Consider the following 27,471-nt stretch of genomic DNA (forward strand, 5'->3'; position numbering starts at 1 on the left):
TGTCTGCACGTCTGCTCTGCCCACAGAGGCCGACACAAGAACAGTGACATGGAGGGGGGAGCTCGCCAGCTACTCTCCCCATCACGCAGGCTGTAGACGTCAGAAACCAAAGTTCATCGGTTTCTCTGCCTTGTGACTCGGGCCACAGGAACTGCATTCAGACGCCGGCCTGCTGTGGTCTGCACATGCAGTCTCAGACACCCACGACAAAGGACGTGGACATATGTGAACACTTCACACACCCAGGGACTACACACACTGAGCCACAAAGGCCTTGCACACGGCCACAGCTGCAGAGTCACAGATGCTGACACAGCTTCAAATGTGTGTGCCGGGTGTGGTGGCACGTGCCTTTAGTCCCAACTACCTGGGAGGCTGAAGTGGAAGGATCGATTCAGCCTGGGAGGTCGAGGCTGCACTCCAGCCTGGGCAACAGAGCGAGACCCTGTCTCAAAGCAACACACACACACAAAGTTGTGTGTGCACACAGCCTCAGTCACAGGGGAGGGCAGTCATTCCCTCACCCAGGCACCTGCGCGGAGTTACACACACTTAGTCACTGCAGATCCCACAGTGGCTCAGAGCTACGCACAGATATGCAGGTGGGGATGAAAATCTCATGTTCTTAAGAATGCCGCCTCAGAGACAAATTGCAGTACAGTTACAACAGAGCATCCACCCCACACCCAGAGATGGCCAAAGTACACACGGTACAGTCGATCACACAGGCGGTTTCACACATTGATTCACACAGCCAAGTCATGCGGGATTGTATGCACACAGCCTTCTCACAGGAAACTGGGCACACTCGTGTCCCTCACGTTCCCCCACTGCATACCCAGGCACACAGGCTCTCGCAGCCCCAGATGCCAAGGCGCACACCTTTGCACCCGCAAGCACACATACTGTTCACACAACCGGGTACACATGACGGCTAGCCCAGGCCCGCCGCCCACGCAGTCGCAGGCCAGGGTACACACGGCCAGCGCCGCCCTTGGCCACGCCCGCTCAGGCCCAGGCAATCGCGCCAGGCGCACACACGGCGCGAGCACACGTGCCGCGGGTACACGATCCCCAGCTCGCCCGCGCACTCGGCCAGCTCTCACACCCCCGCGTTTCCCGTCCCCGCTTGTTTTTCTGGAAACTCTGCTCTCCCCTCCCCTCCCCCTAGGCCGGAAGTGTTGGCTGTATTTTTAGCCTCTCTGGTTTCCGCCCCTTTCCTTCTTTCCCCGCCCGCCCAGGACTGGCCCCAGCGCCCCGCGGGGGGACCCCGGCCATCCCCTTCCCCACCGTCATTCCAGAGGGGATTCCCGGCCGCCGCTGGGGCCGCGGATTTTCCCGCTGGCTACGTAGGGAGCAGGGAGGAGTCCTGCCATGAACTTCCTTCTGGCCTGGGACGCCCGAGATCTGAGGGGAGGGCTGAGGGCCTGGTCTCCTGGATCTGATCGAGGACAGGCTGGGGGTCTCCCGGGTCTGAGGGAGGAGGAGTTAGGGGCCTGAACCGCTGGATCTGAGGGAGGAGGAGATGGGGGCCTGGACCCCTGGGTCTGAGGGAGGAGGGGCTGGGGTCTCGGGGGACCTGAGGATCTGAGGGAGGAGGGGCTGGAGGCCTGGACCCCTGGGTCTGAGGGAGGGGGGGTTGGGAGTCTCCCGGGTCTGAAGGAGGAGGAGTTAGGGGCCTGGACCCCTGGATCTGAGGGAGGAGGAGCTGGGGGCCTGGACCCCTGGTTCCGAGGGAGGAGGGGCTGGGGGCCTGGACCCCTGGATCCGAGGGAGGGGGGTGCTGGGGGCCTGGAGTCCTGGGTCTGAGGGAGGAGGGGCTGGGGACCCAGGGCCCTGGGTTACTGCGAGGGAGGAGGGACTGAGGCCTTGGCTCCTGGGTCCCCCAGGTCTGTGGGTTTGGGGAGGTGGAGGACCAGTCCTTCTGCGAGCAAAGCATCCCCCTCCTTTGAGAGTGGCCCTATCCCAAAAGTCCTGACTCTTGGGGCCGATGACTCAGCAGATGGGAGAGAGGAGGGGGACAGCCTGACTCAGGGATGGGAAATGCTCCCGGTCTCCAGGGAGTAGAAACTGGAATCCCTCCTCCAGGATTGATCGCAGCCCGAGCTGAGCCGGGCTCCGCGAACCCAAGGATGCCCCCAACCCCCCTTTCCCCGCCTCAATCCTTTAAGCTGCGTAAGGATTTGGAGATCGGCCTAGAGGCGGGTCCCAGGTCCCCCTCCTCCCCCCTTTTTCCCCGTTGTCCTCAAGGCTCTGTTTACAGGAGACGGGAGCCCTGGTTACAGGAGAGGAACCCGAGTGTCCGGGCTGAACCTCCTCGTCACGGCTTCCAGGAAGCCCCCACTCCCCCGCCCCTTGCGAGTGAGTCACGGGCGAGCAGGAGGCCACAACCGTGCCAGAGCCGCCCGCGGCCCGCCCAGCTCACGAGACCGGCCCGGGAAGGCCCCTCAGCAAGCGCCGCACCAGGGATTCCCCCCCGCCGCTCTCGGACGAAGCAGGTCGACGTGGAGCCTGGCAGAATCTCCCCACCTTAATACAAGCCCGCAGCCTGCAAGAATGAACTTTCCACCATTATAACTGCGCACTGTGGCAATGATTTCTACCCCCACATTTTCACTCAGGGCATCCAGCTCTCCAGCACCCCTTAGAAAATAGTCTTCCTAGATCTTAAGAGGGTTTTCACTTAGGGCGACCCTTTGATAACAAAAGATGTGCCAGTGTGGGGAATGATCCTTGAAAATGTAGTCTGGGCGGGGTGCGGTGGCTCACACCTGTAATCCCAGCACTTTAAGAGGCCGAGGCAGGTGGATCACCTGAGGTCAGGAGTTCGTGACCAGCCTGACTAACATGGTGAAACCCCCGTCTCTACTAAAAATACAAAAATTAGCTGGGCGTGGTGGCCGGCGCCTGTAATCCCAGCTACTCGGGAGGCTGAGGCAGGAGAATCACGTGAACCCGGGAGGCAGAGGCTGCAGTGAGCTGAGACCGCGCCATTGCACTCCAGCCTGGGCAACAAAAACGAAACTCCATCTCAAAAAAGAAAAAAAAAAGGAGGCCCGGCCGGCTTGGTGGCTCACACCTGTAATCCCACCACTTTGGGAGGCCGAGGCGGGTTGATCACGGAGGTCAGGAGATCGAGACCACCCTGGCTAACACGGTGAAACCCCGTCTCTACTAAAAATACAAAAAATTAGCCAGGCGTGGTGGTGGGTGCCTGTAGTCCCAGCTGCTCGGGAGGCTGAGGCAGGAGAATGCGTGAACCCGGGAGGTGGAGCTTGCAGTGAGCCGACATCGCGCCATTGCACTCCAGCCTGGGTGAAAGAGCGCGACTCCGTCTCAAAAAAAAAAAAGGAAAATGTAGTCTGAAGGCACACCCCACTATAAGAGACCCATCCAGCCATCAACTGAGGATGACCTTTTTTTTTTTTTTTGAAAGCTTTTTTCAATCAATGCAACCATCAGTTATAGTGAAAGACCTCCACCTTGCCAATCTTGAGTTTTCTCAGAGGGCAAACCTCGACATAATTTCAGACCCTAGTATGAGGCCTGTGCCATTTGCTAGCTCGAACTAGGAGAGTAACTTTATTTTTCCCCCTGAGAGGGAGTCTCGCTCTGTGGCCCAGGCTGGAGTGCAGTCGCCTGATCTCGGCTCATTGCAACCTCTGCCTCCTGGGTTCAAGCGACTCTCCCACCCCAGCCTGCTCCCTCCCCGCCCCCGAGTAGCGGGACCACAGGGTGTGCGCCACCACACTCAGCTAATTTTTGCATTTTTGTAGAAATGGGGATTCGCCGTGTTGCCCAGGCTAGTCTCAGACTCCGAGCTCTAGTGATCCGCCTGCCTTGGGCGCCCAAAGTGCTAGGACTACAGGTGTGAGCCGGGCAGGAGAGTAACTTCACTTTGGTTTCCTCCTGCCTTAAATGGGCATACCACCTGGCATTAGGATTAATGTGCGTAAAGTACTTAGAACTCAGCCCAGGTGAGTTCTCCTTAACTCAGCCTAGAAGAGATCATCCGCCCGAGGGTGAGGGGGCTAGAGCCGCCCTGTGAATTGGGAAAGGAGGCCCCTTTTCAGCCTTGCCAGGTATCCTGGACCCCACCCAACCCACTCACTCACCCACCCAACCCCAGCAAGTGGGGAGAGGGAGAGCAGTCCAGGTCTCCTTATCTGTCTGGGCTGTTTAGGAGTGAGACCACACAAGGCAGGCAGTTCTCAGAGAATTCCCCTCCAAGGCCTGCTGGCTCTTTCTTGGCACTTTGCTCTGCAGATTTCTTTCCGTAAGTGCTTATTTCTCACAGTCTTTCTCCTTTTTGTCCAGTTTCTTTTTCTTTTTAATTTTTTTAAATAGTATTTTTTGTAGACATGGGATCTCACTGTTGCCCAGGCTGATCTTGAACTCCTGATCTCAGGTAATCCACCTGCCTCATCCTCTGAAAGTACTGGGATTGGCCGGGCTTGGTGGCTCACACCTGTAATTCCAGCTCTTTGGGAGGCGGAGGTGGGAGGATCGCTTGAGCCCCGGAGCTGGAGATTAGCCTGGGCAACATAGGGAAACCCCGTCTTTCAAAAAAAAAAAAAAAGAAGAAGAAAAAGGAAAGAAAAACACAAAAAGTGCTGGGATCACAGGTGTGAGCCACTGCGCTCAGCCCCTTTCTGTTTCTTTTTGTGATCCTCCCAACCCTCTTCTCCCTCTGAATCTGTCTCTGGGACTGTCTCTGTCTCCCCGTCTTCCCTCCCTTCCTCACCCTGTCTATCTCTCTCTGTATGTCTCTTGGTGTGTGTGTCTCTCTCGATGTTTTTCTCTCTGCCTGTCTGCCTGTCTGTACCCCTCTGCGTCTCTCCCCGCCCCCATCCGTCTGTGTCGCACGCGCACCCCCATCGGGCTTCTGCTCTTGTCAATTGCCCCTGGGGCCCTGCCCCCACCTCCGCCCCAGTTTCCTTCTACAAGCCTCAGTCTCCAGCTTTGAAAACTGGGCAGGCGTCCCCCCATCCGCACCCCCACCCCTTCCCCACGCATTCCCCGCTCGGTCACGGCTGTCCACCGGCCAAGCTCAGGCGCGTCCTGGCCCAGGGCCGGGCGGAAGGGAACCAGTCCAGGGCCAGCCAGGCTGCGCCGGGGGCGCGCGTCCGGGAAGCGCCCCTCCTGCCCCGCCCCCGGCCCCGGCCCCGGCCCCGCCCCGTGCTTGCAGTTTCCTATAAGTAGCCGGCTCTCGGTGCCAGCCTCAGCCTGACTTCAGCGCTCCCACTCTCGGCCGACACCCCTCATGGCCAACCGTTACACCATGGATCTGACTGCCATCTACGAGGTGAGTCCCCGCCGCACGGCATCCCCGGTACCTGCATGCCTGAGTCCGAGTCCCCACCTCTCTAGCGCCGCAAACTCCAGCCCGGGACGCTTGCCTCCCTTCTCCAACTGGGGCTCCCTAGCGCCGCGCCCTCCAGCCTGGGGCCCCTGCCTCCCGCTCAGACCAGCTTGGTGATTTGGAGGTGAAAATGGAACCCGCGACACCCGGCTCTTCGCTCAAACATGGGTGGGGCGGCCCATGCAAGTGGAAAGTCGGAGAACTTTTCTCAGACCGAGGCTGCCTGGAGGCGGAAGTGGCCCCCATACCTGGCTCACCCCTAGTCGTTGCTGAGGGCGTGGTTTTGCGCGGAGGCGTCTCTGGGGCTGAAGTCTCAGGGTGGGGGGATCCGACTTCTGTCTCTCCAGTCCCTGACCGTAGAGACAGAGAACCCTAAAACCGAAGCAATCCGGACTTCCAGGTCAACTTTGCCCGGTTTCTCCAGTTGTGAAACTGGAGATCCCGACGCGTGGGTCATATCCGGGGAGGACAAGAGACCCAAAATTGGGAAACAGTGGTGCGCCCTGACTTCGGGGTCCCCCTCTTGGTCCAGCCGGGGAAGCCGGGATTCCTGGGTCCCTCGGGATAAGGCCTCGGTGGTGGGTAAACTCAGAACCTCCAACTCTGGGTTCCTGGCATCCGGAACCCAGGGGTTTCTGCGGGCGGGTGGGGCTCAGGCGGGGAGCCCACAAACCGGCCTGGCAAGCTCTAGTTCCCTGCAGCTGGGGTGGGGCGTCGCCCTGCATTTTCAGGTGCCTTAACCGACCCATTTCCGCAGAGCCTCCTGTCGCTGAGCCCTGACGTGCCCGTGCCATCCGACCATGGAGGGACTGAGTCCAGCCCAGGCTGGGGCTCCTCGGGACCCTGGAGCCTGAGCCCCTCCGACTCCAGCCCGTCTGGGGTCACCTCCCGCCTGCCTGGCCGCTCCACCAGCCTAGTGGAGGGCCGCAGCTGTGGCTGGGTGCCCCCACCCCCTGGCTTCGCACCGCTGGCTCCCCGCCTGGGCCCTGAGCTGTCACCCTCACCCACTTCGCCCACTGCAACCTCCACCACCCCCTCGCGCTACAAGACTGAGCTATGTCGGACCTTCTCAGAGAGTGGGCGCTGCCGCTACGGGGCCAAGTGCCAGTTTGCCCATGGCCTGGGCGAGCTGCGCCAGGCCAATCGCCACCCCAAATACAAGACGGAACTCTGTCACAAGTTCTACCTCCAGGGCCGCTGCCCCTACGGCTCTCGCTGCCACTTCATCCACAACCCTAGCGAAGACCTGGCGGCCCCGGGCCACCCTCCTGTGCTTCGCCAGAGCATCAGCTTCTCCGGCCTGCCCTCTGGCCGCCGGACCTCACCACCACCACCAGGCCTGGCCGGCCCTTCCCTGTCCTCCAGCTCCTTCTCGCCCTCCAGCTCCCCACCACCACCTGGGGACCTTCCACTGTCACCCTCTGCCTTCTCTGCTGCCCCTGGCACCCCCCTGGCTCGAAGAGACCCCACCCCAGTCTGTTGCCCCTCCTGCCGAAGGGCCACTCCTATCAGCGTCTGGGGGCCCTTGGGTGGCCTGGTTCGGACCCCCTCTGTACAGTCCCTGGGATCCGACCCTGATGAATATGCCAGCAGCGGCAGCAGCCTGGGGGGCTCTGACTCTCCCGTCTTCGAGGCGGGAGTTTTTGCACCACCCCAGCCCGTGGCAGCCCCCCGGCGACTCCCCATCTTCAATCGCATCTCTGTTTCTGAGTGACAAAGTGACTGCCCGGTCAGATCAGCTGGATCTCAGCGGGGAGCCACGTCTCTTGCACTGTGGTCTCTGCATGGACCCCAGGGCTGTGGGGACTTGGGGGACAGTAATCAAGTAATCCCCTTTTCCAGAATGCATTAACCCACTCCCCTGACCTCACGCTGGGGCAGGTCCCCAAGTGTGCAAGCTCAGTATTCATGATGGTGGGGGATGGAGTGTCTTCCGAGGTTCTTGGGGGAAAAAAAATTGTAGCATATTTAAGGGAGGCAATGAACCCTCTCCCCCACCTCTTCCCTGCCCAAATCTGTCTCCTAGAATCTTATGTGCTGTGAATAATAGGCCTTCACTGCCCCTCCAGTTTTTATAGACCTGAGGTTCCAGTGTCTCCTGGTAACTGGAACCTCTCCTGAGGGGGAATCCTGGTGCTCAAATTACCCTCCAAAAGCAAGTAGCCAAAGCCGTTGCCAAACCCCACCCATAAATCAATGGGCCCTTTATTTATGACGACTTTATTTATTCTAATATGATTTTATAGTATTTATATATATTGGGTCGTCTGCTTCCCTTGTATTTTTCTTCCTTTTTTTGTAATATTGAAAACGACGATATAATTATTATAAGTAGACTATAATATATTTAGTAATATATATTATTACCTTAAAAGTCTATTTTTGTGTTTTGGGCATTTTTAAATAAACAATCTGAGTGTAAGCTGGGATCCTGGCTTCTTCGCGGTCTAGAGACAGGAATGGAGAGGGAGGGGGTGACTTTTTGGAAGCTGGGTGCAGTTAACTCTTCCTCTCCGAGCCCCGCGGCGCTTACCTGGCAGGAAGTGACGTCACCGGGCCTGGCCGTTCACCTGAAAGGGTGGGACCAGGTGAGGTCACCAGATGGGAACCGGGGGAGCCAGTTCCCGGGCGTCGGGGGCGCCGCGCTCCCGTCCTGCTGGGCTCCTTGACCCAGCTTCGGGCGGGTGCGGTCGGGGACGGGATGTTTCCGTCCCCACGGGGCCGCGGGAGGCGGGAGGGGCCGGGTGGGGAGGACGGAATGTGCTGGGGCGCGCGCCCAGAGCGAGCGGGGGCGGGCGCGGGGCGGGGCAGCCTGGGGTAGCGGAACCCGTTTCGGGACTAGAGGTTCCGGGGGGGCTTCGACACCTTCTGGATGTTGGGGAAGCGGGTTTAGGGTCTCAAGAGGCTAGGATCTCAACATTTGGGAGTCACAGGTTGCATCCCCTAGCGCTTTAGACTCTAGACCCCTGGTGGCTCGGAGTTGCAGATTTCTGGCCACCCGGGACCCTGGAGCCCGGGAATTACCGGGTCTTGGCATTTCCGAACCTTGGAAGTCCGAGGCTTCGCACACCGACCAGGGTCGGCCCCGCGAGGCCAGGGCGTGTGGGTAGGGGCCGCGCGTCTAGGAGGGGCCCCGGGGGAGCCGCGTCTTCAGACCATACAAGGCCAGCGTCGTCGGGACCAACCCCGGGGCCCCGCGCCCGGAAGCCGCCCTGCGTCAGCGCCTGCGGCTCGGCCCTGCCGCCCAGCCTTCGCCCCCTGCGACCCCTCTTTTTTCTCCTTGCCCCGCACTCCTCCCTCCTCCCTCTCACTTCCCTCTTCTCTCCTTTCCCTACCCTCACCCTTCCTCCTCTTTTTCACTTCCTCCTCTGCACCCTTCTGCCCCGCCCTACACCCTTTGCCTTCTGTTCTTCTCTCCCCCTCCAATTTGTCCCCTCCCTCATTACTCCTCTCCCACTTCCAGCCTCCCCATCCTGCCGTCTCTTACCCCCTTTCTCCTCCTTCCCGTCTCCCTTCTCTCCCTTTTTCCGTCCTTCTTTCCCTCTCCACCCTTTCCTTGCCCTCCCACTCCCCATTGTCCTCTTCCCCTCCTCCCCCTAGCCTTACTCCTTCTCCTCTTCTCTCTCCCTCTGAAGCCCCTTTCCCTCCTCTCCCTTCTCTCTACCCTCCTCAAGCCTCCCTCCTGCTCTCAGGCCTCCTTGGCCCACTCCCCTTGCTCACTGACATTTGGTCTCCTCTTCCAGGAAACTGCTTCCCTTGTGGGAAAGGGCTCAGGCCCTAATAAGTAGAAGAGGATCAGGCGAGAGGGAGTCAGAACCCCTGAGATGCAAAGGCAGCAGAGGGGCAGAGACCAAGAGCAAGCAGTGAAGAGACATTTGCAGAAACAGTCTTGGAGACTGAAAGAACAACATCTCTGGTCCTTCCTTTAGCCAGATCTGATTCTCTGCCCCTTCCCCAAAAAATCCCTCATATAAGAAAACGGCACTTCTCACCATCTACCAGGGCTTAAGCCAGACACCCAGGAGTATCCCTTGACACCTTGTTCTCAAATCCACACCCCAGTCCAACAGCAATCCTGTCTGATCCACCTGCAAAATAGATCCACTATCCACCTGCCCCCACCATGACCCCCACCCTGGTCCTAGCCAACATCGTCTGCCATTTGCATCTTCATAGCAGCCCCAGCCCCAGTCTCTGCTCTAGCCCCTGCCTTCAGTCTCTCCTTTCTCCACTCCCCCACGAGACAACCAAAGGAAGCCTGTTATGAGACCTGAGTCAGGTCACATAAAAGTCAAAGTCCGAAGTCCTCCCCACAGCCCACACAATCTGGCACCCATCGCTTACCCTCCCCCTTGGCCACTCTGCTCCAGCCACACTGGCCTCCTAGCTGCTCTACCAAGTCTGGTCTGCTTCATCCATAGGAGCTTTGCACTAGCTGTTCCCTCTGCCTGAACACTCCCCTGGTGTCCCCATGGCTCACTCCCCTCCTTCATGTCTCTGCTCAAAAGTTGCCTTCTCTGTGAGATCCTCCCTGACCACTGCTGTTGCAATCCACACCCCACCTCCAACTACCCCATCCTCCCTACCTTGCTCGACTTTTTCCATGACATTTATCATCACCACCTAACATTAAAATGTACTTAATTCTTATGTTGACAGCAATCTGCCTCCCCACTAGAATGTCGCGTCCTCAGGGGCAGGGACTACTTGTTCACTGCTGTATTACACACAGCTAAAGGAAGCCAGGCATAGTGAATGTTCAATATTTATTGAAAAAACAAGTCGACTCAAAAACATAGTTTTCCTTTTCAACAGAGGTCGAAAACTCCAAGACAGATAGCTATGTTCATCTGTAAAGGAGGCATTAAAAAGACAGAGAAATACAGAGGAGGCAGAGTCATATACAGTTTGCCGAGGACCCACATCTCTACAGAAGTCAAACTGTTTGCACACAATTCCATGCCCAGAGCATCTAATAAGAGACGATACCCCCACCTGGTGGCTGGGACGGAAACGGCACCTCCCTACAATACAGAACACCCAAAGGACCGTCGCCAAAGCCCTAGGAGTCTTTTGAGCCCAATAATTCAAAAGATAGAAACGTTCATTCATCTAAGTGATGTAGATGTTTTGGTTGGTTTATTAGATGTGTAAGTTTATAAAAACTGATGGGGAAAAAAAGTGCTCCAGGTGAGGATCGAACTCACAACCTCGGCATTGCTCCGCTCGCACTGTCATATAAGTACCGCGCGCTAACCGATTGCGCCACTGGAGCTCCGGCCGCACCCCTGCGCCGGGGTCTTCTTCAGTGGTTCATAGCCACGTGACCTCACCGGAGGGCCCCGCCTTGTGTTATATATGCAAATTAAACATTTTGCATTGACCAATAGGAGACAGTGCATTGCCAGTTCCGGATTCTCACGCCTCGCGGCCCTTGCTGTAAAAGGGAAAAGTCCGCGAGGCGTTTGGAATGTAGGGGTGTCGCCTACCAGAAGGACACGCCTCCTCATGAATATTCAAAACAAGGGGTGGGGTCTTAACCCTTCGCTGGCGGGTCGGCCGGAAGGCAGCCCCTCCCCCCCCCGCAGGCGGGAACAGGATGTGAGCCCCGGCGACAGCGGGGGAGGGGAAGCCCCGGGCGACCGCCCCCCGCCTCACAGCTGGGATCGGACTCTCCCGCCCCAGATGTGGCGCCGCCGCCGTCACACGAGCCCCGTGACACCCAGCCGGGAGCCCGAGGGGTCCAGAGGCTCGGACCCGGGCGTCCGGAATTTCTGCACCGCATCCTGAGAGACCCCGAGGTCCAGACCCCGGCGCCCAGGCTGGAGGACTTGAGCCATCCAGGTGCGCAGCGCCCCCTCCTGGAGCAGCCGGGAGCCCGGACGTCACCCCGCGAGACCCTGGAGGCCGAGCGCCCCGTATCCCCGTTTCAAGAACTCAGGATCCAGGACCGCAGACTCCCTCCAGGGCTCCGATCCCAAGACCCCGCGTTGGAGGAACTTGAGATCCGGACTTCTAAGCGCCCCAACCAGTTTCGGGCTGCAGCGGCCATCGCTTCAAGGGGACCCAGGACTTTGGGACCCCCCTGTGCTCCCACCTGGAGGGAGTTTCATTCCTGCCCCTAGAATTAGGGGAACTCAGAAATCCATCCCCCACCCCACGGCCCTACCTAGAAGACTTAGGAATGTGGGTCCCCAGCGCCGCCATCTGAGACTCCAGAGTCGAGGCTCCTAGCATCCCCTACGTAGAACACTGAGAAATTCCGACTGCGGGACCCCAGTCTCCGAGAGACCCCAGATTCTATTCCTGGAGCCTGAGAGCCCGAAGTTCACGCCCCTGAGTCTGGGCTCCGCACCTCCCTGGGGACCGCGTCGGGGTCGCGCAGGAGCCGGGCTGCCTCGAGCCGGGGCTGGAGGCTCCCCGGGAGGTGAGGGGGGAGGCGAGGGGCCCAGGCGGACTGGGGGAGGGGGCGGCGCCACTGCTGAACAATGAGGGGGCGTGCCGGCGGGGGGCGAGCCGAGGCGCCGGCGGGAGTTGGGGGCTGGAGGGGTGTGGGAAGGCGCTGGGGAGGCTGTGGCTGTGGGGACGGCGATCGGGGTTCGGAGAGACCGGCCGGAGGGGGTGCGAGGGCTCGGGGCCAGCGCCCCAGCGCGCAGCCCTCGGCGGGGGAGGGAGCCGTCTGCAGGACCCTGGCATCCGGTCCCCCAGCCTCCGCCCTCCCCTGGGACCCCGCGGCCTCCCGCCCACGGCTTTTCCCAGCCCTGCCCCTCGCCCTCCGCTCCAGCTGGAGCCCAAACGTTCCCAGGATCCCTAAGCCTCCGGCCCCAGACAAACGGGACTCGCAGCTTCTGCGCCTCCTGCTCCGCTCACTCTTCTTTGTCTCAGCCTTTCCATCTTTTTCGCCAGGTTCTCTCTCCTTGTCCCCTTCTTTCTGTCACTTTGTGCCTCCCCCATTAGTTACTCCCAGGGGCCCCTCCCTGGATTTACACCACGCTCCTAATTCCCAGCCCCCATCTGTGAGTCTGGGCGGCGGAGAGGCCCATGGGGTCCTGATATCCAAGAAGGGGCTCTTTCTGCAGGACTCTGCTGGGCCGCTCAGCCATGCCTGAGGGAGCCCAAGGACTGAGCCTCTCCAAACCTAGCCCAAGCCTCGGGTGTGGCCGAAGAGGTGAAGTGTGTGACTGTGGCACCGTGTGTGAGACTCGGACAGGTGAGCCTAGAGGCAGGGGCGGCGGAGCCTGTGGGGCTTTTATTCCTTGGCAATGCTGTCAAGGCAGGGTGATGGAGACAACCCCAGGCCAACTCGCACAAAGCTCCGAGTCTGGTGGGGAAGGCGGGCCCATCCCCAGGCAATGACAGGCCAGAGGGGGCAGCGCTGGGCAGAGTGGTCAGGGCTGTGATCGTGGATCCTCTGAGCTCGGAAGGTCAGGGGAAGGTTCCTGGAGGTGGGAACATCTCAACTGGGAAGTGGAAGATTAGGGGGAAGGAGTTGCGCAAAGACAAGGAAGAGTATTCTACATGCAAGGAACAGCATGTGCAAAGGCCCAGCGGTGAGAAAAGGCTGCATGTAAGTGACTGAAAGAAGTTGAGTGTCACTGGCATCCAGAGTGTAAGAAGAGGGGTGGCTGTGGGAAGAGAACTGGCTAGAGGGATCTGTGTTGGCCACATTGCCCAGTGCCCTGTGGATCTGAGGAGTTTGGACTTTATCCCCAGGGGCATGAAGGGGTTACACTCACGGGAGTAATACAGTCAGATAGACAAATTAATAAATGTCTACCTAGCTGATTCATGGAGGTGGATTAGAGAAATGGAGGCCAGAAGTCCAGAGAGGACCCTGATGGGAGAGGATGGGACTGGACCAAGACAGGGCAGTGGGGAGAGGAGGAAGGAGCCTGTGGGAAAGCTGTTGGACAGGTGTGGGTGAGGGTGTGGGCTGAACGCATGAAAGGCTGTGGAAGTCCGTGCATGGGGAGATTTCTCTGACCTCCTGTTCCACACCCCAGCAGCTCCTGCAGCCCCCACCATGGCCTCCCCCCGAGGTTCTGGGAGCTCCACATCCCTGAGCACAGTGGGCTCTGAGGGGGATCCAGCCCCTGGGCCCACTCCAGCCTGCTCAGCCTCCAGGCCAGAGCCCCTTCCAGGGCCTCCCATCCGCCTACATCTCTCTCCGGTGGGGATCCCAGGTTCAGCCAGACCCTCAAGGCTGGAGCGTGTGGCCCGGGAGATCGTGGAGACAGAACGGGCCTATGTCAGGGACCTCCGCAGCATCGTGGAGGTAAGGCGGGCAGACACCAGAGGGCAGTGGGTACCCAGGCCAGCCCCTTGGCCCCCATAACCCCAGTCATCCCAACAGGACTACCTGGGCCCTCTGCTGGACGGCGGGGTCCTGGGGCTGAGCGTGGAGCAGGTGGGCACGCTGTTTGCCAACATTGAGGACATCTACGAGTTCAGCAGGTCAGGGGCAGGGGGGACAGGCAGGGGGCATTGATTGGTTGGAGGGTCTATTTCCTAATCCAAACCTCGGAGCTTCGTAGTGTCCTGTCCAGGCTGGTACGTGGGGTTGTGACATTGGGCAAGGATCAGGGATCACGACTGGGAGGGAGGACCCCGAGTGAGGGAGGGGCATAGGGGATGGGAGGACCCCGAGTGAGGGAGGGGCATAGCGGATGGGAGGACCCCGAGTGAGGGAGGGGCATAGCGGATGGGAGGACCCCGAGTGAGGGAGGGGCATAGCGGATGGGAGTCAGAGGACCTGGATGAAGCCCAAACACTGGGACAGGGTCCCGGCATCAGGACGAGTCCTTGGGGCTGTGTCAGGTCTGGGCTCACGATGAATCCAAGAATCATATGGGGCCTGAAGGCCGAGACAGCGTGAGCATGCGAGTGACCCCCTAAGCCTGATTTGCCTGGGACTTTTCCAGTTTTAGCACTGAAAGCCCTCGTCCTAGGAAACTGCTCAGTCCCGGACAAACCAGGATGGTTGGTCACTGTGGTAAGGAGGACTCTGGGGTCCAAGGATCATGACATTTCCAAGTACCTTGACGAGGTCTCGGGATTACAGCAGGAACTTAAGATCATCCTAGCTCTTTGGGTCATGATATAACACCCCTAGGCTCATGCCAGCACTGACACAAGTTCAAGCTGAGGAATGAGAAGCTGTCCAGGGACAAAGTCTAAGCAGGTTACCATGCCCCGTGTAGCCCTCAGAGGACCCTTCCTCCGGACATGACATCCCCTTAGGAGATGCTGGCAGTCAGCAAGCCCCCAGCCCCAGCAGACCATTGGGGCCTCAGCCTCCTGGAGGCCTCCCATGGAGGGGTCGTGAAGGCAGGCGGTTCCTCACCCTCCCCTCTCCCCTGTAGCGAGCTCCTGGAGGACTTGGAGAACAGCAGCAGCGCCGGGGGTATTGCCGAGTGCTTCGTGCAGAGGGTGAGTGGAGGGGTGGGGGGCTCTCGGTCCTGGATGGGGCCTTTGTAGAGGGGGGAGAGCAGGCTTGGGCTAGGCTGGAAGGGGGGTCGTGGGAAGCCAGGACCTGGGGTCTCCCTGACTCCCATGTCACCCGCAGAGCGAGGATTTTGACATCTACACATTGTACTGCATGAACTACCCGAGGTGAGGGGCAGGAGCCCCTGCTGGGCCTCAGGCTGTGCCCACAAGCTGATGTGCCAGTCACCCGTCACCCTCCCTCTACCCCCGACCCATCCAGCACCGACCCCTGCCAGGCTGTGACAGTAACTGACCTCTCCCTCACTGCCCCGCCCCCTGTCAGACCCTGACCCTTCCCAAACCCTGGCCCCTCCCTAACCCCTCTTGACCCCGCCCACTGGAACTGACAATCCCCACTGACCTGTGCTGTGCCCCCAGCTCCCTGGCCCTGCTCCGGGAGCTGTCGTTGTCTCCGCCAGCAGCCCTGTGGCTGCAGGAGCGCCAGGCCCAGCTTCGCCACTCGCTGCCCCTGCAGAGCTTCCTGCTGAAACCTGTCCAGCGCATTCTCAAGTACCATCTGCTGCTGCAGGTCAGCTGGGGCCCCTGGAGCCAGGCTGGGGAGGGGGAGGTCCTGTCCCTTGACCACCTGTTGGTTCATCTGGAGGATGGACCCCCCACGAGTTGGGCAAGGCCTCCCAAAGTGCTGGGATTACAGGCGTGAGCCACCGCGCACAGCCCTAGCTTTTTTTTTTCCCTTTGAGGTGGAGTTTCACTCTTGTCGATGAGGCTGGAGTACAGTGGTGCGATCTTGGCTCACTGCAACCTCCACCTCCTGGGTTCAAGTGATTCTCCTTGCTCAGCCTCCTGAGTAGCTAGGATTACAGGCGCACACCACCATGCCCAGCTAATTTTTGTATTTTTAATAGGGACGGGGTTTCACTACGTTGGCCGGGCTAGTCTCGAACTCCTGGCCTCAGGTGATTTGCCCACCTCAGCCTCCCAAAGTGCTGGGATTACAGACATGAGCCACTGCGCCTGGCCTCTGCCCCTATCTTTATATTTCTCCATCTCCTGTTATTCTCATTCTCTTTCTCCTTCTCTGTTTCTCTCCCCATCCCTGCGTGCCTGGTGGCTGCCTGACAGGAACTAGGGAAGCACTGGGCGGAGGGCCCAGGCACTGGGGGTCGCGAGATGGTGGAGGAAGCTATTGTGTCCATGACAGCGGTTGCCTGGTACATCAACGACATGAAGCGCAAGCAGGAGCATGCAGCGCGCCTCCAGGTGGCCCCAGGGTGGGCTGGGGCTTGCTGGATGAGGGAGTGAGCGAGGGGGCCTTGGGGCGGGTGGGGGGAAATCAGTGCCTCAGAGGTAGCCTTGGAGGGTTGGCTGGGACAGCATGGCCCTGTTGCTAACCCCCTGTTTTGGTGTGTATGTGTGTGCCACCTACCCATGCTTGTCTCTGCGCCCCGGCGCACCTGGCGGGGTCCCGGCAGGAAGTGCAGCGGCGGCTGGGTGGCTGGACCGGACCAGAGCTCAGTGCTTTTGGGGAACTGGTGTTGGAGGGCGCGTTCCGAGGAGGCGGAGGGGGTGGCCCCCGGCTACGAGGGGGTGAGCGGCTGCTCTTCCTGTTCTCTCGGATGCTGCTGGTGGCCAAGCGCAGGGGGCTGGAGTACACCTACAAAGGCCACATCTTCGTGAGTTTGGGGATGGGGTGGGGCTAGAATACTACCTACAAAGTATATCCCATATACCTGTATCTGTGTGCCCGGCAGTGTGGGCCAGGGGACCCTGCCACATTTTCTTGAGTTAGAGAATGGAAGCCAAGGGAAGCTTTCTTTCTAGTGTATAGAATGAGAGCTGCCCCACTTAAGAAAAAAAAGGAGAAGGCTGGGCGTGGTGGCTCATTCCTGTAATCCGAGCACTTTGGGAGGTCAAGGCGGGCGGATCACTTGAGGTCAGGAGTTCGAGACCAGCCTAGCCAACGTGGTGAAACCCCGTCTCTACTAAAAATACAAAAATTAGCTGGACGTGGTGGCAAGTGCCTGTAATCCCAGCTACTGGGGAGGCTGAGGCAGGAGAATTACTTGAACCCAGGAGGCGGAGGTTGCAATAAGCCAAGATCATGCCACTGCACTCCAGCCTGGGTGACAGAGCAAGACTCTGTCTCAAAAAAAAAAAAGGGAGAGGAAACCCACCATACAGCCTTATGGGATGCATCTTCCTAGGGAGGAGGACCCAGATACACCTCCAAGGGTGTCTCCGTACAAGGGGCATCACTGAGCCCAAGGACTCTGAGCTTGCTACCCCTCTCTTTCCTTCCAGTGCTGCAACCTGAGCGTGAGCGAGAGTCCCCGAGACCCTCTAGGGTTCAAGGTGTCTGATCTGACCATTCCCAAGCACAGACACCTGCTCCAGGTGAGCATGTAGTGGGATCAGGCTGGCAGGGATCCCCCAGCCTCGAGACCTCACACCTGGCCCCCTGACTCTACTCCAACCCACTCCTAGGCCAAGAACCAAGAAGAGAAGAGGCTGTGGATTCACTGTCTCCAGCGCCTCTTCTTTGAGAACCACCCTGCCTCCATCCCTGCCAAGGTACAGCTCCTGCCGCAGCCGGGGGCCCTCTGAGTGCTGGAGACACCCTCCCCCAATAGTACTAAGAGACGCCCCTGCCCAATGCCAGAGCAGTCTGTTATAATGTGATTGCTAAAAGTGCAGAATTCCGCTACTTGGGTTTGAATCTTAGCTCTACCATGTCCCTGCTTTGTGACCTTGGGCAAGTAACTTAACCTCTCTGAGCCTTAACTTCCTCACCTAGAGGAATGAAAGCGCCTTCATCCTAGGGTTGTGGTGATGAGTAATGGTCACCAGCCACGTCATGGGCTTGACCAATAGAAGCACCCATCAGCTGGCTGTGGTGGCTCATGCCTATAATCCCAGCACTTCGAGGGGGTGATGTGGGAGGATCATTTAAGCCCGGGAGTTCGATACCAGCTTGGGCAACATAGTGAGACCCTGTCTCTAAAAAACATTTTTTAATTAGCTGGGGCTGGCCAGGCACGGTGGCTCACACCTGTAATCCCAACACTTTGGGAGACCAAGGCGGGCGGATCACCTGAGGTCAGGAGTTCAAGAGCAGCCTGACCGACATGGAGAAACCCCATCTCTACTAAAAAATACAAAATTAGGCCGGGCGCGGTGGCTCATGCCTGTAATCCCAGCACTTTGGGAGGCCGAGGCGGGCGGATCACGAGGTCCGGAGATCGAGACCATCCTGGCTAACATGGTGAAACCCCATCTCTACCAAAAATACAAAAAATTAGCCAGGCGTGGTGGCAGGTGCCCGTAGTCCCAGCTACTCGGGAGGCTGAGGCAGGAGAATGGCGTGAACCCAGGAGGCAAGAGCTTGCAGTGAGCCTAGGTTGCGTCACTGCGCTCTCCAGACTGGGCAACAGAGTGAGCCTCTGTCTCAAAAAAAAAAAAGAAAAAGAAAAATTAGCTGGGCATGGTGGCGCATGCCTGTAATCCCAGCTACTAGGGAGGCTGAGGCAGGAGAATCACTTGTACCTGGGAGGCGGAACTTGCGGTGAGCCGAGATCATGCCATTGCACTCCAGCCTGGGCAAGAAGAGCGAAACTCCGTCTCAAAAAAATAAAAATAAAATAGCTGGGCTGGACGTGGTGGTTCACGCCTGTAATCCCAGCACTTCGGGAGGCCAAGGCGGGTGGATCACCTGAGGTTAGGAGTTCAAGACCAGCCTGGTCAACATGGTGAAACCCCGTCTCTACTAAAAACACAAAAATTACCGGGTGTGGTAGCGGGCACCTGTAATCCCAGCAACTCAAGAGGCTGAGGCAGGAGAATCGCTTGAACCCAGGAGGCAGAGGGTGCAGTGAGCCGAAATCGCGCCTTTGCACTCCAACCTCGGCAACAAGAGCAAAATCTCCGTCTCAAAAAAAAAAAAAAATTAGCTGGATGTGATGGTGCACATATGAAATCCCAGCTACTCAGGAGGGTGAGGTGGGAAGATCGCTTGATCCCAGAAGTAGAGGCTGGAGTGAGCTATGATTGCACCACTGTACTCCAACCTGGCGTATAGAGCAAGATCTAAAAACAAAAACAGCACCCATTAATGGGCATGACTACGGTGCTTAAAGTATCCTCTCTGTGGTACTCCAAGATCGACCCACCTCAGCCCTCATCCTCCTGTCTTTCAGGCAAAGCAAGTTCTCCTTGAAAACAGCCTGCATTGTGAGTTGGGGCCTTGGGCTGGGAGGGTGTGGAAGTAGACGAATTACTTCCAAGAAAAAGTTGGCTTTTAGCCCCAAAACTCTCCCCACAGGTGCCCCCAAAAGTAAGCCTGTCCTAGAGCCCCTGACACCCCCACTTGGGTCTCCTCGACCTCGAGATGCTAGAAGTTTTACCCCTGGGCGAAGGAACACAGGTAAAGGCGGTGGATCCCTGAGTCCCAGCCCTCAGCCCCACTTCCCTAGGACCCGGGAGCTGGGCTCACACAGGGCTCTGGCCCTCCCTCCCACAGCTCCATCTCCTGGGCCCTCTGTGATTCGCCGAGGCCGCAGGCAGTCTGGTGAGCACTCACCCCTAAGGGTGATCCAGGCATCGGGGTGGGAGCTGGGCTCCTGACATCACTGTGTCCTCCCCGCAGAGCCGGTGAAGGACCCTTATGTCATGTTCCCACAGAACGGTCAGTGACTGCCCCGGTTCAGCCTGGTCCATCCCTGTCTGTCGCCCGGTGGGATGTCTGGGGCGGGTTGGGGAGGGGTGGTTGCTTCAGCTCATCAGTTATGGGGGAATCACTCTTTTTCCCTTACATCTCACTAATGCTTCTCTCTCTCTCATCTCTCCATCCTTAGCTAAGCCTGGATTCAAGGTAAGAGATATCTCGAGATAGGGTCTGGGCACCTTGACTTCTGGGTCTGATGGAGAAGGGAGCTTGAGTTCCAAAATCCTGGGTCTGAATGAGAAGGGGATTGGGGCCAGACAGAGTAACTCATGCCTGTAATCTCAGTATTTTGGGAGGTCAAGGCAGGAGGATTGCTCGAGCCCAGGAGTTTGAGACCAGTCTGGGCAACATGGCAAAACCCCATCTCTACAAAAAGTACAAAAAAATTAGCCAGGCACACTAGTGCATGCCCATAGTCCCAGCTACTCAGGAGACTGAGGTGGGAGGATTGCTTGAGCCTGGGAGGCAGAGGTTGCAAAATGAGCTGGGACACACCACTGCACTCCAGCATGGGTCACAGTGAGACCCTGTCTCAAATAAATAAATAAAAATTTTAAGAGAAAAATAAAAAAATTTAAAAATTGAGCCAGGTACGGTGGCTCACCTGTAATCCCAGCACTTTGGGAGGCCGAGGTAGGTGGATCATCTGAGATCAGGAATTTGAGACCAGGCTGGCCAACAAGGAGAAACCCCGACTCTACTAAAAATACAAAAATTAGCTGGACATTGTGGCAGGCGCCTGTAATCCCAGCTACTCAGGAGGCTGAGGCAGCAGAATCGCTTGAACCCGGGAGGCGGAGATTGCAGTGAGCAGAGATGGCGCCATTGCACTGCAGGCTGGGCGACAGAGCGAGACTCCATCTCAAAACAAACAAACGCAAAAGAAGGGGATTGGGACTTGGGGTCCTCTATGTGAGGGAGGAGTCTTGGCTCTTGCCTTCCATTGCTTTCCCTCCTCACAGCACGCTGGCAGCGAAGGGGAACTCTACCCTCCAGAATCTCAGCCACCAGTTTCAGGCTCTGCACCCCCTGAGGACCTGGAGGATGCTGGACCCCCAACACTGGACCCCTCTGGGACCTCAATCACTGAAGAAATCCTGGAACTGCTGAATCAGCGAGGCCTTCGAGATCCAGGGGTGAGCTGGCTGTCCCATCATGGTGTCCTTGGGCCTCTGGGTGTGGGCACACAGACCAGGGACCAGATAGGCCAGCCCATGCTGATACCTTTATTTTTTTTTTATTTGAGATGGAGTCTTGCTCTGTTGCCGAGGCTGGAGTGCAGTGGCGCCATCTCGGCTCACTGCAAGCTCTGCCTCCCAGGTTCAAGCGATTCTCCTGCCTCAGCCTCCTGAGTAGCTGGGACTACAGGCACCCGCCAACACACCCGGCTAATTTTTTTTTTTTTTTTGTATTTTTAGTAGAGACAGGGTTTCACTATGTTGGCCAGGCTGGTCTCGAACTCGTAACCTCAAGTGACCCGCCCACTTCAGCCTCCCAAAGTGCTGGGATTACAGGCGTGAGCCACCACACCCAGCTACCATGCTGATATGTTTGGCTTGTTCTCCTGTGCCCACTATAGCCGTCCACCCATGACATTCCCAAGTTCCCCGGAGACTCCCAGGTGCCTGGCGACAGCGAAACCCTCACATTCCAAGCCCTGCCCAGCCGGGACTCTTCAGAAGAGGAGGAGGAGGAAGAGGAAGGGCTGGAGATGGATGAACGGGGGCCTTCCCCACTCCACGTCCTGGAAGGGCTCGAAAGTTCCATTGCAGCTGAAATGCCCAGCATTCCCTGCCTTACCAAAATTCCTGACGTGCCCAACCTTCCTGAAATTCCCAGCCGCTGTGAAATTCCCGAAGGTTCTCGCCTTCCTAGTCTCTCTGACATTTCCGATGTTTTTGAGATGCCCTGCCTTCCAGCCATACCTAGTGTCCCCAACACCCCCAGTCTGTCTAGCACTCCCACCCTCTCCTGTGACTCCTGGCTCCAAGGGCCTCTGCAGGAACCAGCTGAGGCTCCAGCCACCAGGAGAGAACTGTTTTCTGGGAGCAATCCTGGGAAACTGGGAGAGCCGCCTTCAGGAGGCAAGGCAGGGCCAGAGGAGGATGAAGAAGGGGTATCATTCACAGACTTCCAGCCCCAGGATGTCACCCAACATCAGGGATTCCCAGATGAGCTGGCATTCCGCTCTTGCTCAGAAATCCGGAGCGCCTGGCAGGCATTGGAACAGGGACAGCTGGCCCGGCCAGGCTTCCCAGAGCCACTGCTGATCCTGGAGGATTCGGATCTGGGTGGAGACAGCGGGAGCGGGAAGGCAGGAGCCCCGAGTTCAGAAAGGACGGCGTCCCGAGTGCGAGAGCTGGCCCGGCTTTACAGCGAGCGGATCCAGCAGATGCAGCGGGCGGAGACTCGGGCATCAGCCAATGCCCCGCGCCGCCGGCCTCGGGTTCTGGCCCAACCCCAGCCATCCCCCTGTCTGCCCCAGGAGCAGGCAGAGCCAGGTGAGGTCCGGGTACGTGGTTGGCAGAGGTGGTCCCCGCTGGAGTAGTGGTCCTGACTCGATCCTCTTTTCGCATTCAGGGCTCCTGCCTGCCTTTGGACACGTGCTGGTATGTGAGCTGGCCTTCCCACTGACATGTGCCCAGGAGTCTGTCCCCCTGGGTCCTGCTGTCTGGGTTCAAGCTGCCATACCTTTGTCAAAGCAGGGAGGCAGCCCGGATGGCCAGGGTCTACATGTTTCCAATTTGCCTAAGCAAGACCTTCCGGGCATCCACGTTTCAGCTGCTACCCTTTTGCCTGAGCAAGGAGGTTCCCGGCATGTCCAGGCTCCAGCCGCCACACCTTTGCCCAAGCAAGAAGGCCCCCTGCACCTCCAGGTGCCGGCTCTTACAACTTTCTCTGATCAAGGCCACCCAGAAATCCAAGTTCCAGCCACCACTCCTTTGCCTGAGCATAGAAGTCACATGGTTATACCAGCTCCATCCACCGCCTTTTGTCCTGAGCAGGGACACTGTGCGGACATCCACGTTCCCACCACTCCAGCTTTGCCCAAGGAGATTTGTTCTGATTTCACAGTTTCAGTCACCACCCCTGTGCCCAAGCAAGAAGGTCACCTAGACAGCGAGAGCCCAACCAATATCCCACTGACAAAGCAAGGAGGTTCCAGGGATGTTCAGGGCCCAGACCCTGTCTGCAGTCAACCCATCCAGCCTTTGTCTTGGCATGGAAGCAGCCTGGATCCCCAGGGCCCAGGCGACACCCTACCACCCTTGCCATGTCACCTCCCAGACCTTCAGATTCCAGGTACCTCACCTTTGCCTGCACATGGAAGCCACCTGGACCATCGGATCCCAGCCAACGCCCCACTGTCTTTGTCCCAGGAGCTCCCAGACACTCAGGTTCCAGCTACCACACCTTTGCCCCTGCCACAAGTCCTCACAGACATCTGGGTCCAAGCCCTCCCAACTTCACCCAAGCAGGGAAGCCTCCCAGACATCCAGGGTCCAGCGGCTGCACCTCCACTTCCGGAGCCAAGCCTTACAGATACACAGGTCCAAAAACTCACACCTTCGTTGGAGCAGAAGAGCCTCATAGATGCCCATGTTCCAGCTGCCACACCTTTACCTGAGAGAGGAGGCTCTCTAGACATTCAGGGCCTCTCACCCACCCCAGTTCAGACCACCATGGTTTTGTCCAAACCAGGAGGCTCCTTAGCCTCTCACGTTGCCAGGTTGGAGTCTTCAGACTTGACGCCACCTCATAGTCCCCCACCTTCCAGCCGTCAGCTCCTGGGCCCCAATGCAGCTGCCCTCTCCAGATACCTGGCAGCCTCATATATCAGCCAGAGCCTGGCTCGGCGGCAGGGGCCTGGGGGAGGGGCCCCCGCAGCCTCCCGGGGCTCCTGGTCCTCTGCTCCCACGTCACGGGCATCTTCGCCGCCCCCCCAGCCCCAGCCACCACCTCCCCCAGCCAGGCGGCTCAGCTATGCCACGACGGTTAACATCCACGTGGGCGGGGGTGGGCGGCTGCGGCCAGCCAAGGCCCAGGTCCGGTTGAACCACCCTGCTCTCTTGGCCTCCACACAGGAATCTATGGGCCTTCACAGGGCCCAGGGGGCTCCTGATGCCCCCTTCCACATGTGAGCCAGGACATGAGGCTTCCCTGAAGCAAGGATTTCAGCCAGATGCCATAGACCCTCAGAACTTGACCTGGAAGTCCAGACACTGAACGCAGGCCTCAAAACTGCTGCGGCCTTCCAACTCCTGGTATCTGCATCGGCGAATGGCCCTTCTTGCCTTGATCCACAGGGATGGGGAAGGGAGGAATGTCATTAATGTTTTGTTAATACTGATTCTTTCATGCAATGATGTGTATTTTCCCATTCTGGAGGCTGTGGGAGATGACAAGACAATGAATGGGAAGGTCTGACACAGAACAAATCAGCGGTTCTGAAAGCTTGGGGAATCTCAGACTCCTTTGAGAATTATTGGAAAATGGACCCACTATAACTTGGCGTGTGTGTGAACTGCTTGATGCCCATCCAGGAAAGCCAAGTTAAGAAGCTTTGCTTCAAGTAGACACTAGAAATCCATTCCCTTGGCAATTTATACAGTTCACGTCTCCCACCATCCGTTCATCTCACCCACCCTGCCATCTCTCCACCTATCCATCTGGCTATTGCTCCATCTAGCTTTCCCGCTCCATCTACCCATCTTCCAATCCATCATCTCACGTATCTGCCTTGCTTATCCAACTGTCTGCCTTATTCACCCACCCATCCCTTTATCATTCTAACCCCATCTGGCATTCCATCCCTCCATTTATCCATCTTCCCACTTACCCATCTTCTCCATCCAGCACTCCGTTCATCAGTCCGTCTCTCCCTCCATATTTCCATCTGTCCATTCATCCACTCATTTTGCCATCCATACATATTCACCCAGCCATCTCCCAATCCATCGACATACCCCATCCCTCCCTCACTGGACTCTCCGGGGTCTTAGTACTATGATACTTCAGAGACAATTCCATGCTGATACGGGGGAGATCAATTTTGGGGCTCTGGGATAAGTCTGTCCCACATCTGTCTGATTTCCCTTGGCATCCTTCCCGTCAGTTCCTCTTGAATATCCCAGTTCTTGTACCCACTCACATACCTCAGATCCCTTCACTCCTCCCCGCAGTTTGCAGCCTCTACAATTCATCCACATGCTCCCTCCCCCAGCAAAATAATTCAGGTCGTGGAGACAAAAGGCTTTTATGTTAGGTTCTGTCTGCCCCCTTGTTCCAGCAGTGGTATGCCCAGTGAGAGGCACAATTTAAACGGTTTCTTTGGTGATGATATTAGCTACTTTCATCAAATACTTAGCCTCTTGTGCTTTAGCACATTATTTATGTAAGCTCCCCTAGGATTCTCTGAAGCACCCTGGTGTCCTGGCTGTGAATTCAAGTCCCATCTTTACTTATTTGGTGTGGGTCCTCCCTCTGAGCCGGTTTTCTCATCTACAAAATGAAGACAACAGTACTTCCCTCCTGGGATCATTGAAAGATTTAGGGAGCATATCCTTCCACTTCCCAAACATATTTGAACCTCTGACTTGCTTAGGAGCATCATTCAAATCACAGATCCCCCAGTATCTAGTCCCAACCTATTGAATCAGGATCCCCAGGGAAGGAGGAGCTTGGGAATCTGATTTTTTTTTTTTTTTTTAGATAAAGTCTCACTCTGTCACCCAGGCTTGAGTGCAGTGGCAAAATCTTGGCTCATTGCAACCTCCACCTCCTGGGTTCAAGCAATTCTCATGCCTCAGCTTCCCGACATAGCTGGGATTATAGGCGTGCACCACCATGCCCAGCTAATTTTTCGTTGTTGTTGTTGTTGTTTTGTTTTTGAGACAGAGTCTCGCTCTGTTGCCCAGGCTGGAGTACAGTGGCACGATCTTGGCTCACTGCAAGCTCCGCTTCCCGGGTTCACGCCATTCTCCTGCCTCAGCCTCCCGAGTAGCTGGGACCACAGGTGCCCGCCACCACGCCCGGCTAATTTTTTTGGTATTTTTAGTAGAGACGGGGTTTTACCATGTTAGCCAGGATGGTCTCGATCTCCTGACCTCGTGATCCTCCCGCCTCGGCCTCCCAAAGTGCTGGCATTACAGGCGTGAGCCATCATTCCTGGCTGGGAATCCGAATTTTTTTTTTTTTTTAGACGGAGTTTCGCTCTTGTTGCCCAGGCTGGAGTTCAATAGCATGATCTCGGCTCACTGCAACCTCTGCCTCCCAGGTTCAAGTGATTCTCCTGCCTCTAGCTGGGATTGCAGGCGCCCACGACCACGCCCAGCTAATTTTTGTATTTTGTAGTAGAGACGGGATTTCGCCATATTGGCCAGGCCATAGTGGTCTTGGACTCCTGACCTCAGGTGATCCGCCCACCTCGGCCTCCCAAAGTGTTGGGTTTACAGGCGTGAGCTACCATACCCTGCCCAGGAATCTGAATTTTTAGCAATCAGTTAGCAGCAAATAAGCTGAGATTTCCTGGGTACTAAGCACATACTATGAGCATTACAGCCGCTTTATATAAGCTCGTTCACTGTCCTCATTACATTCCTAATATGCAAGTGAGCATGTTTTTTAATCCTCAGTCTAGAGGTGAGGAAACTGAGGCAGGCACAGAGAGGCTAAGGGATTTGCCTAGTCGCACAGCTAGGAAGGTGCAGCACTGAGACTCGAATCCACACAGCTTGGCTTAAGTCTACCATTAAATTTGCCTGTCCTGGCCAGGTGCGGTGGCTCACGCCTGTAATCCCAACACTTCGTGAGGCCAAGGCAGGTGGATCACTTGAAGTGAGGAGTTCGAGACCACACCAGCCTGGCCAACATGGTGAAATCCCGTCTTTACTAAAAATACAAAAAATTAGCTGGGCGTGGTGGTGGGTGCCGGTAATCCTAGCTACTCAGGAGGCTGAGGCAGGAGAATCACTTGAACCTGGGAGGTGGAGGTTGCAGTGAACCGAGATTGCGCCACTAGACTCCAGCCTGGGAGACGAGCAAAACTGTCTCAAAAAAATAAAATGAAATACATAAATAAATGTGCCTATCCTGTGCCGGGTGCTGTTCTTGCCAGTGGGGATACATGAGAGAACACTGCCTTGCCCGCATGAGGCTTGTGGCCTGGTACTGTGCACACCTCAGGGGATTCTGATAATTAGCTGAGCACAGTTGCCAGCACAGGGCCTGGCTCAATAAATATTAGCTGCTGGCTTCTGCTCACTTACTGTTTATTGACTGGCTACTGTACACCAGGGCCGAGGCTGTGTCCCGGGGGCCCCGTGGTGACGGAGGTGAACTCCTCAGCCTGGAGTGATCCACTCCACTGGAGCCTCCCCAAGGTCAGGACCGCAGCCGACGCTCCCCTCCTCCGCCCCAGCTGCACATTCCCGGCTGAAGGAAAGTTCTCAGCCTGGCCCAGGCTCCCAGCGGCGTCGGAATTCCCGGTATTCGAGGAGGCAGGGAGGGAGAAGGGGCCTGTCTACTCCAAGGCCTGGAGCTGGGAAGGAGAGGCAAGCCCCTTTCCAGTCCAGATGTGTCCCAGCTGTGCCTCTGGGAAAGAGCCAGGAGCCTCAATAAGGGGGTCTCTGGACCCCCTGGGAAAACCATGGGCGCCAGGCTTGCCTCCACCCCTCCTCCTGGCATCTGTGAATTCCATTCCTCCCTCCCGCCCAACTCCTACTGCTGCTTCCCAGCCCCAGCTCTGTCGCCTTCTCAGGAATACCTTTCCTGCTGGCCTACCTTGGTTCTGAGCCCAGTCCTCCTCAGAGCTACAGCTAAATCAGGCTCCGAAAGGATAAGGATGGTGCCTGCTGTCCTCTCTGGGACATTTAGGTTAATGCCAGCTAAACCAGTTAACCGGAGTTAACTCTGGCTGCGATGCAAAACTTGGCGAGCCGCA

General features: G+C 57.5%; 2 protein-coding genes and 2 non-coding genes across 6 annotated transcripts, besides 20 other annotated features; 2 read left to right on the forward strand and 2 right to left on the reverse strand.

Moving 5' to 3' along the window:
* Window positions 200-419: an enhancer, noted in NCBI's record as "active region_14615". NCBI's record gives its function as "activates an Ori minimal core promoter by ATAC-STARR-seq in GM12878 lymphoblastoid cells {active_cell/tissue: GM12878}" and the evidence as "EXISTENCE:reporter gene assay evidence [ECO:0000049][PMID:35858748]".
* Window positions 1,680-2,187: an enhancer, noted in NCBI's record as "NANOG-H3K27ac-H3K4me1 hESC enhancer chr19:39893943-39894450 (GRCh37/hg19 assembly coordinates)". NCBI's record gives its function as "activates a minimal SCP1, AML or CMV promoter by ChIP-STARR-seq in naive H9 embryonic stem cells {active_cell/tissue: H9 hESC(naive)}" and the evidence as "EXISTENCE:reporter gene assay evidence [ECO:0000049][PMID:30033119]".
* Window positions 4,818-5,267: a silencer, noted in NCBI's record as "silent region_10598". NCBI's record gives its function as "represses an Ori minimal core promoter by ATAC-STARR-seq in GM12878 lymphoblastoid cells {active_cell/tissue: GM12878}" and the evidence as "EXISTENCE:reporter gene assay evidence [ECO:0000049][PMID:35858748]".
* Window positions 5,224-7,784, forward strand: ZFP36 (ZFP36 ring finger protein). The gene is made up of 2 exons (NM_003407.5): window positions 5,224-5,305; window positions 6,120-7,784. Exons 1-2 carry the CDS (start codon window positions 5,282-5,284, stop codon window positions 7,074-7,076), a joined length of 981 nt encoding a protein of 326 aa, NP_003398.3. The 5' UTR covers window positions 5,224-5,281; the 3' UTR covers window positions 7,077-7,784.
* Window positions 5,388-5,587: an enhancer, noted in NCBI's record as "active region_14616". NCBI's record gives its function as "activates an Ori minimal core promoter by ATAC-STARR-seq in GM12878 lymphoblastoid cells {active_cell/tissue: GM12878}" and the evidence as "EXISTENCE:reporter gene assay evidence [ECO:0000049][PMID:35858748]".
* Window positions 5,638-6,275: an enhancer, noted in NCBI's record as "H3K27ac-H3K4me1 hESC enhancer chr19:39897901-39898538 (GRCh37/hg19 assembly coordinates)". NCBI's record gives its function as "activates a minimal SCP1, AML or CMV promoter by ChIP-STARR-seq in primed H9 embryonic stem cells {active_cell/tissue: H9 hESC(primed)}" and the evidence as "EXISTENCE:reporter gene assay evidence [ECO:0000049][PMID:30033119]".
* Window positions 6,276-6,914: an enhancer, noted in NCBI's record as "H3K27ac-H3K4me1 hESC enhancer chr19:39898539-39899177 (GRCh37/hg19 assembly coordinates)". NCBI's record gives its function as "activates a minimal SCP1, AML or CMV promoter by ChIP-STARR-seq in primed H9 embryonic stem cells {active_cell/tissue: H9 hESC(primed)}" and the evidence as "EXISTENCE:reporter gene assay evidence [ECO:0000049][PMID:30033119]".
* Window positions 6,915-7,552: an enhancer, noted in NCBI's record as "H3K27ac-H3K4me1 hESC enhancer chr19:39899178-39899815 (GRCh37/hg19 assembly coordinates)". NCBI's record gives its function as "activates a minimal SCP1, AML or CMV promoter by ChIP-STARR-seq in naive H9 embryonic stem cells {active_cell/tissue: H9 hESC(naive)}" and the evidence as "EXISTENCE:reporter gene assay evidence [ECO:0000049][PMID:30033119]".
* Window positions 7,815-8,405: an enhancer, noted in NCBI's record as "H3K27ac hESC enhancer chr19:39900078-39900668 (GRCh37/hg19 assembly coordinates)". NCBI's record gives its function as "activates a minimal SCP1, AML or CMV promoter by ChIP-STARR-seq in primed H9 embryonic stem cells {active_cell/tissue: H9 hESC(primed)}" and the evidence as "EXISTENCE:reporter gene assay evidence [ECO:0000049][PMID:30033119]".
* Window positions 8,000-8,055, reverse strand: MIR4530 (microRNA 4530). Its single transcript, NR_039755.1, has one exon. It is a non-coding gene; the product is annotated as a microRNA 4530 (primary transcript).
* Window positions 8,058-8,117: a silencer, noted in NCBI's record as "silent region_10599". NCBI's record gives its function as "represses an Ori minimal core promoter by ATAC-STARR-seq in GM12878 lymphoblastoid cells {active_cell/tissue: GM12878}" and the evidence as "EXISTENCE:reporter gene assay evidence [ECO:0000049][PMID:35858748]".
* Window positions 8,468-8,787: a silencer, noted in NCBI's record as "silent region_10600". NCBI's record gives its function as "represses an Ori minimal core promoter by ATAC-STARR-seq in GM12878 lymphoblastoid cells {active_cell/tissue: GM12878}" and the evidence as "EXISTENCE:reporter gene assay evidence [ECO:0000049][PMID:35858748]".
* Window positions 9,988-10,077: an enhancer, noted in NCBI's record as "active region_14617". NCBI's record gives its function as "activates an Ori minimal core promoter by ATAC-STARR-seq in GM12878 lymphoblastoid cells {active_cell/tissue: GM12878}" and the evidence as "EXISTENCE:reporter gene assay evidence [ECO:0000049][PMID:35858748]".
* Window positions 10,488-10,587: an enhancer, noted in NCBI's record as "active region_14618". NCBI's record gives its function as "activates an Ori minimal core promoter by ATAC-STARR-seq in GM12878 lymphoblastoid cells {active_cell/tissue: GM12878}" and the evidence as "EXISTENCE:reporter gene assay evidence [ECO:0000049][PMID:35858748]".
* Window positions 10,545-10,637, reverse strand: TRI-TAT1-1 (tRNA-Ile (anticodon TAT) 1-1). Its single transcript is given in 2 exon segments — window positions 10,545-10,580; window positions 10,600-10,637. It is a non-coding gene; the product is annotated as a tRNA-Ile (tRNA).
* Window positions 10,598-10,647: an enhancer, noted in NCBI's record as "active region_14619". NCBI's record gives its function as "activates an Ori minimal core promoter by ATAC-STARR-seq in GM12878 lymphoblastoid cells {active_cell/tissue: GM12878}" and the evidence as "EXISTENCE:reporter gene assay evidence [ECO:0000049][PMID:35858748]".
* Window positions 10,858-11,217: a silencer, noted in NCBI's record as "silent region_10601". NCBI's record gives its function as "represses an Ori minimal core promoter by ATAC-STARR-seq in GM12878 lymphoblastoid cells {active_cell/tissue: GM12878}" and the evidence as "EXISTENCE:reporter gene assay evidence [ECO:0000049][PMID:35858748]".
* PLEKHG2 (pleckstrin homology and RhoGEF domain containing G2) lies at window positions 11,046-26,792 on the forward strand. Of its 3 annotated transcripts, NM_001351693.2 has the most exons (20): window positions 11,046-11,789; window positions 12,442-12,572; window positions 13,546-13,637; window positions 13,716-13,816; window positions 14,725-14,791; window positions 14,928-14,974; window positions 15,227-15,377; window positions 15,932-16,069; window positions 16,282-16,482; window positions 17,111-17,203; window positions 17,294-17,380; window positions 19,003-19,036; window positions 19,128-19,229; window positions 19,326-19,373; window positions 19,452-19,490; window positions 19,660-19,676; window positions 20,492-20,665; window positions 21,109-22,030; window positions 22,110-23,259; window positions 23,615-26,792. In NM_001351693.2, exons 2-20 carry the CDS (start codon window positions 12,464-12,466, stop codon window positions 23,754-23,756), a joined length of 3,714 nt encoding a protein of 1,237 aa, NP_001338622.1. In that variant the 5' UTR covers window positions 11,046-11,789; window positions 12,442-12,463; the 3' UTR covers window positions 23,757-26,792. The 3 variants fall into 3 exon arrangements, with proteins under 3 accessions (NP_001338622.1, NP_073746.2, NP_001338623.1); NM_022835.3 differs by having other exon boundaries at window positions 13,369-13,637; window positions 22,110-26,792; NM_001351694.2 differs by lacking the exons at window positions 11,046-11,789; window positions 21,109-22,030; window positions 22,110-23,259 and adding an exon at window positions 12,156-12,268 and having other exon boundaries at window positions 13,369-13,637.
* Window positions 11,748-11,887: a silencer, noted in NCBI's record as "silent region_10602". NCBI's record gives its function as "represses an Ori minimal core promoter by ATAC-STARR-seq in GM12878 lymphoblastoid cells {active_cell/tissue: GM12878}" and the evidence as "EXISTENCE:reporter gene assay evidence [ECO:0000049][PMID:35858748]".
* Window positions 11,898-11,967: a silencer, noted in NCBI's record as "silent region_10603". NCBI's record gives its function as "represses an Ori minimal core promoter by ATAC-STARR-seq in GM12878 lymphoblastoid cells {active_cell/tissue: GM12878}" and the evidence as "EXISTENCE:reporter gene assay evidence [ECO:0000049][PMID:35858748]".
* Window positions 12,078-12,137: a silencer, noted in NCBI's record as "silent region_10604". NCBI's record gives its function as "represses an Ori minimal core promoter by ATAC-STARR-seq in GM12878 lymphoblastoid cells {active_cell/tissue: GM12878}" and the evidence as "EXISTENCE:reporter gene assay evidence [ECO:0000049][PMID:35858748]".
* Window positions 26,430-27,075: an enhancer, noted in NCBI's record as "NANOG-H3K27ac-H3K4me1 hESC enhancer chr19:39918693-39919338 (GRCh37/hg19 assembly coordinates)". NCBI's record gives its function as "activates a minimal SCP1, AML or CMV promoter by ChIP-STARR-seq in naive H9 embryonic stem cells {active_cell/tissue: H9 hESC(naive)}" and the evidence as "EXISTENCE:reporter gene assay evidence [ECO:0000049][PMID:30033119]".
* Window positions 26,430-27,140: a biological region, named in NCBI's record as "Sharpr-MPRA regulatory region 7883".
* Window positions 26,846-27,140: a silencer, noted in NCBI's record as "tiled region #7883; K562 Repressive non-DNase unmatched - State 18:Pol2". NCBI's record gives its function as "represses a minimal TATA promoter and a strong SV40 promoter by Sharpr-MPRA in K562 cells {active_cell/tissue: K562}" and the evidence as "EXISTENCE:reporter gene assay evidence [ECO:0000049][PMID:27701403]".

This window comes from Homo sapiens, chromosome 19, assembly GCF_000001405.40.
Source record: "Homo sapiens chromosome 19, GRCh38.p14 Primary Assembly".
Classification (NCBI taxonomy): Eukaryota; Metazoa; Chordata; class Mammalia; order Primates; family Hominidae; genus Homo; species Homo sapiens.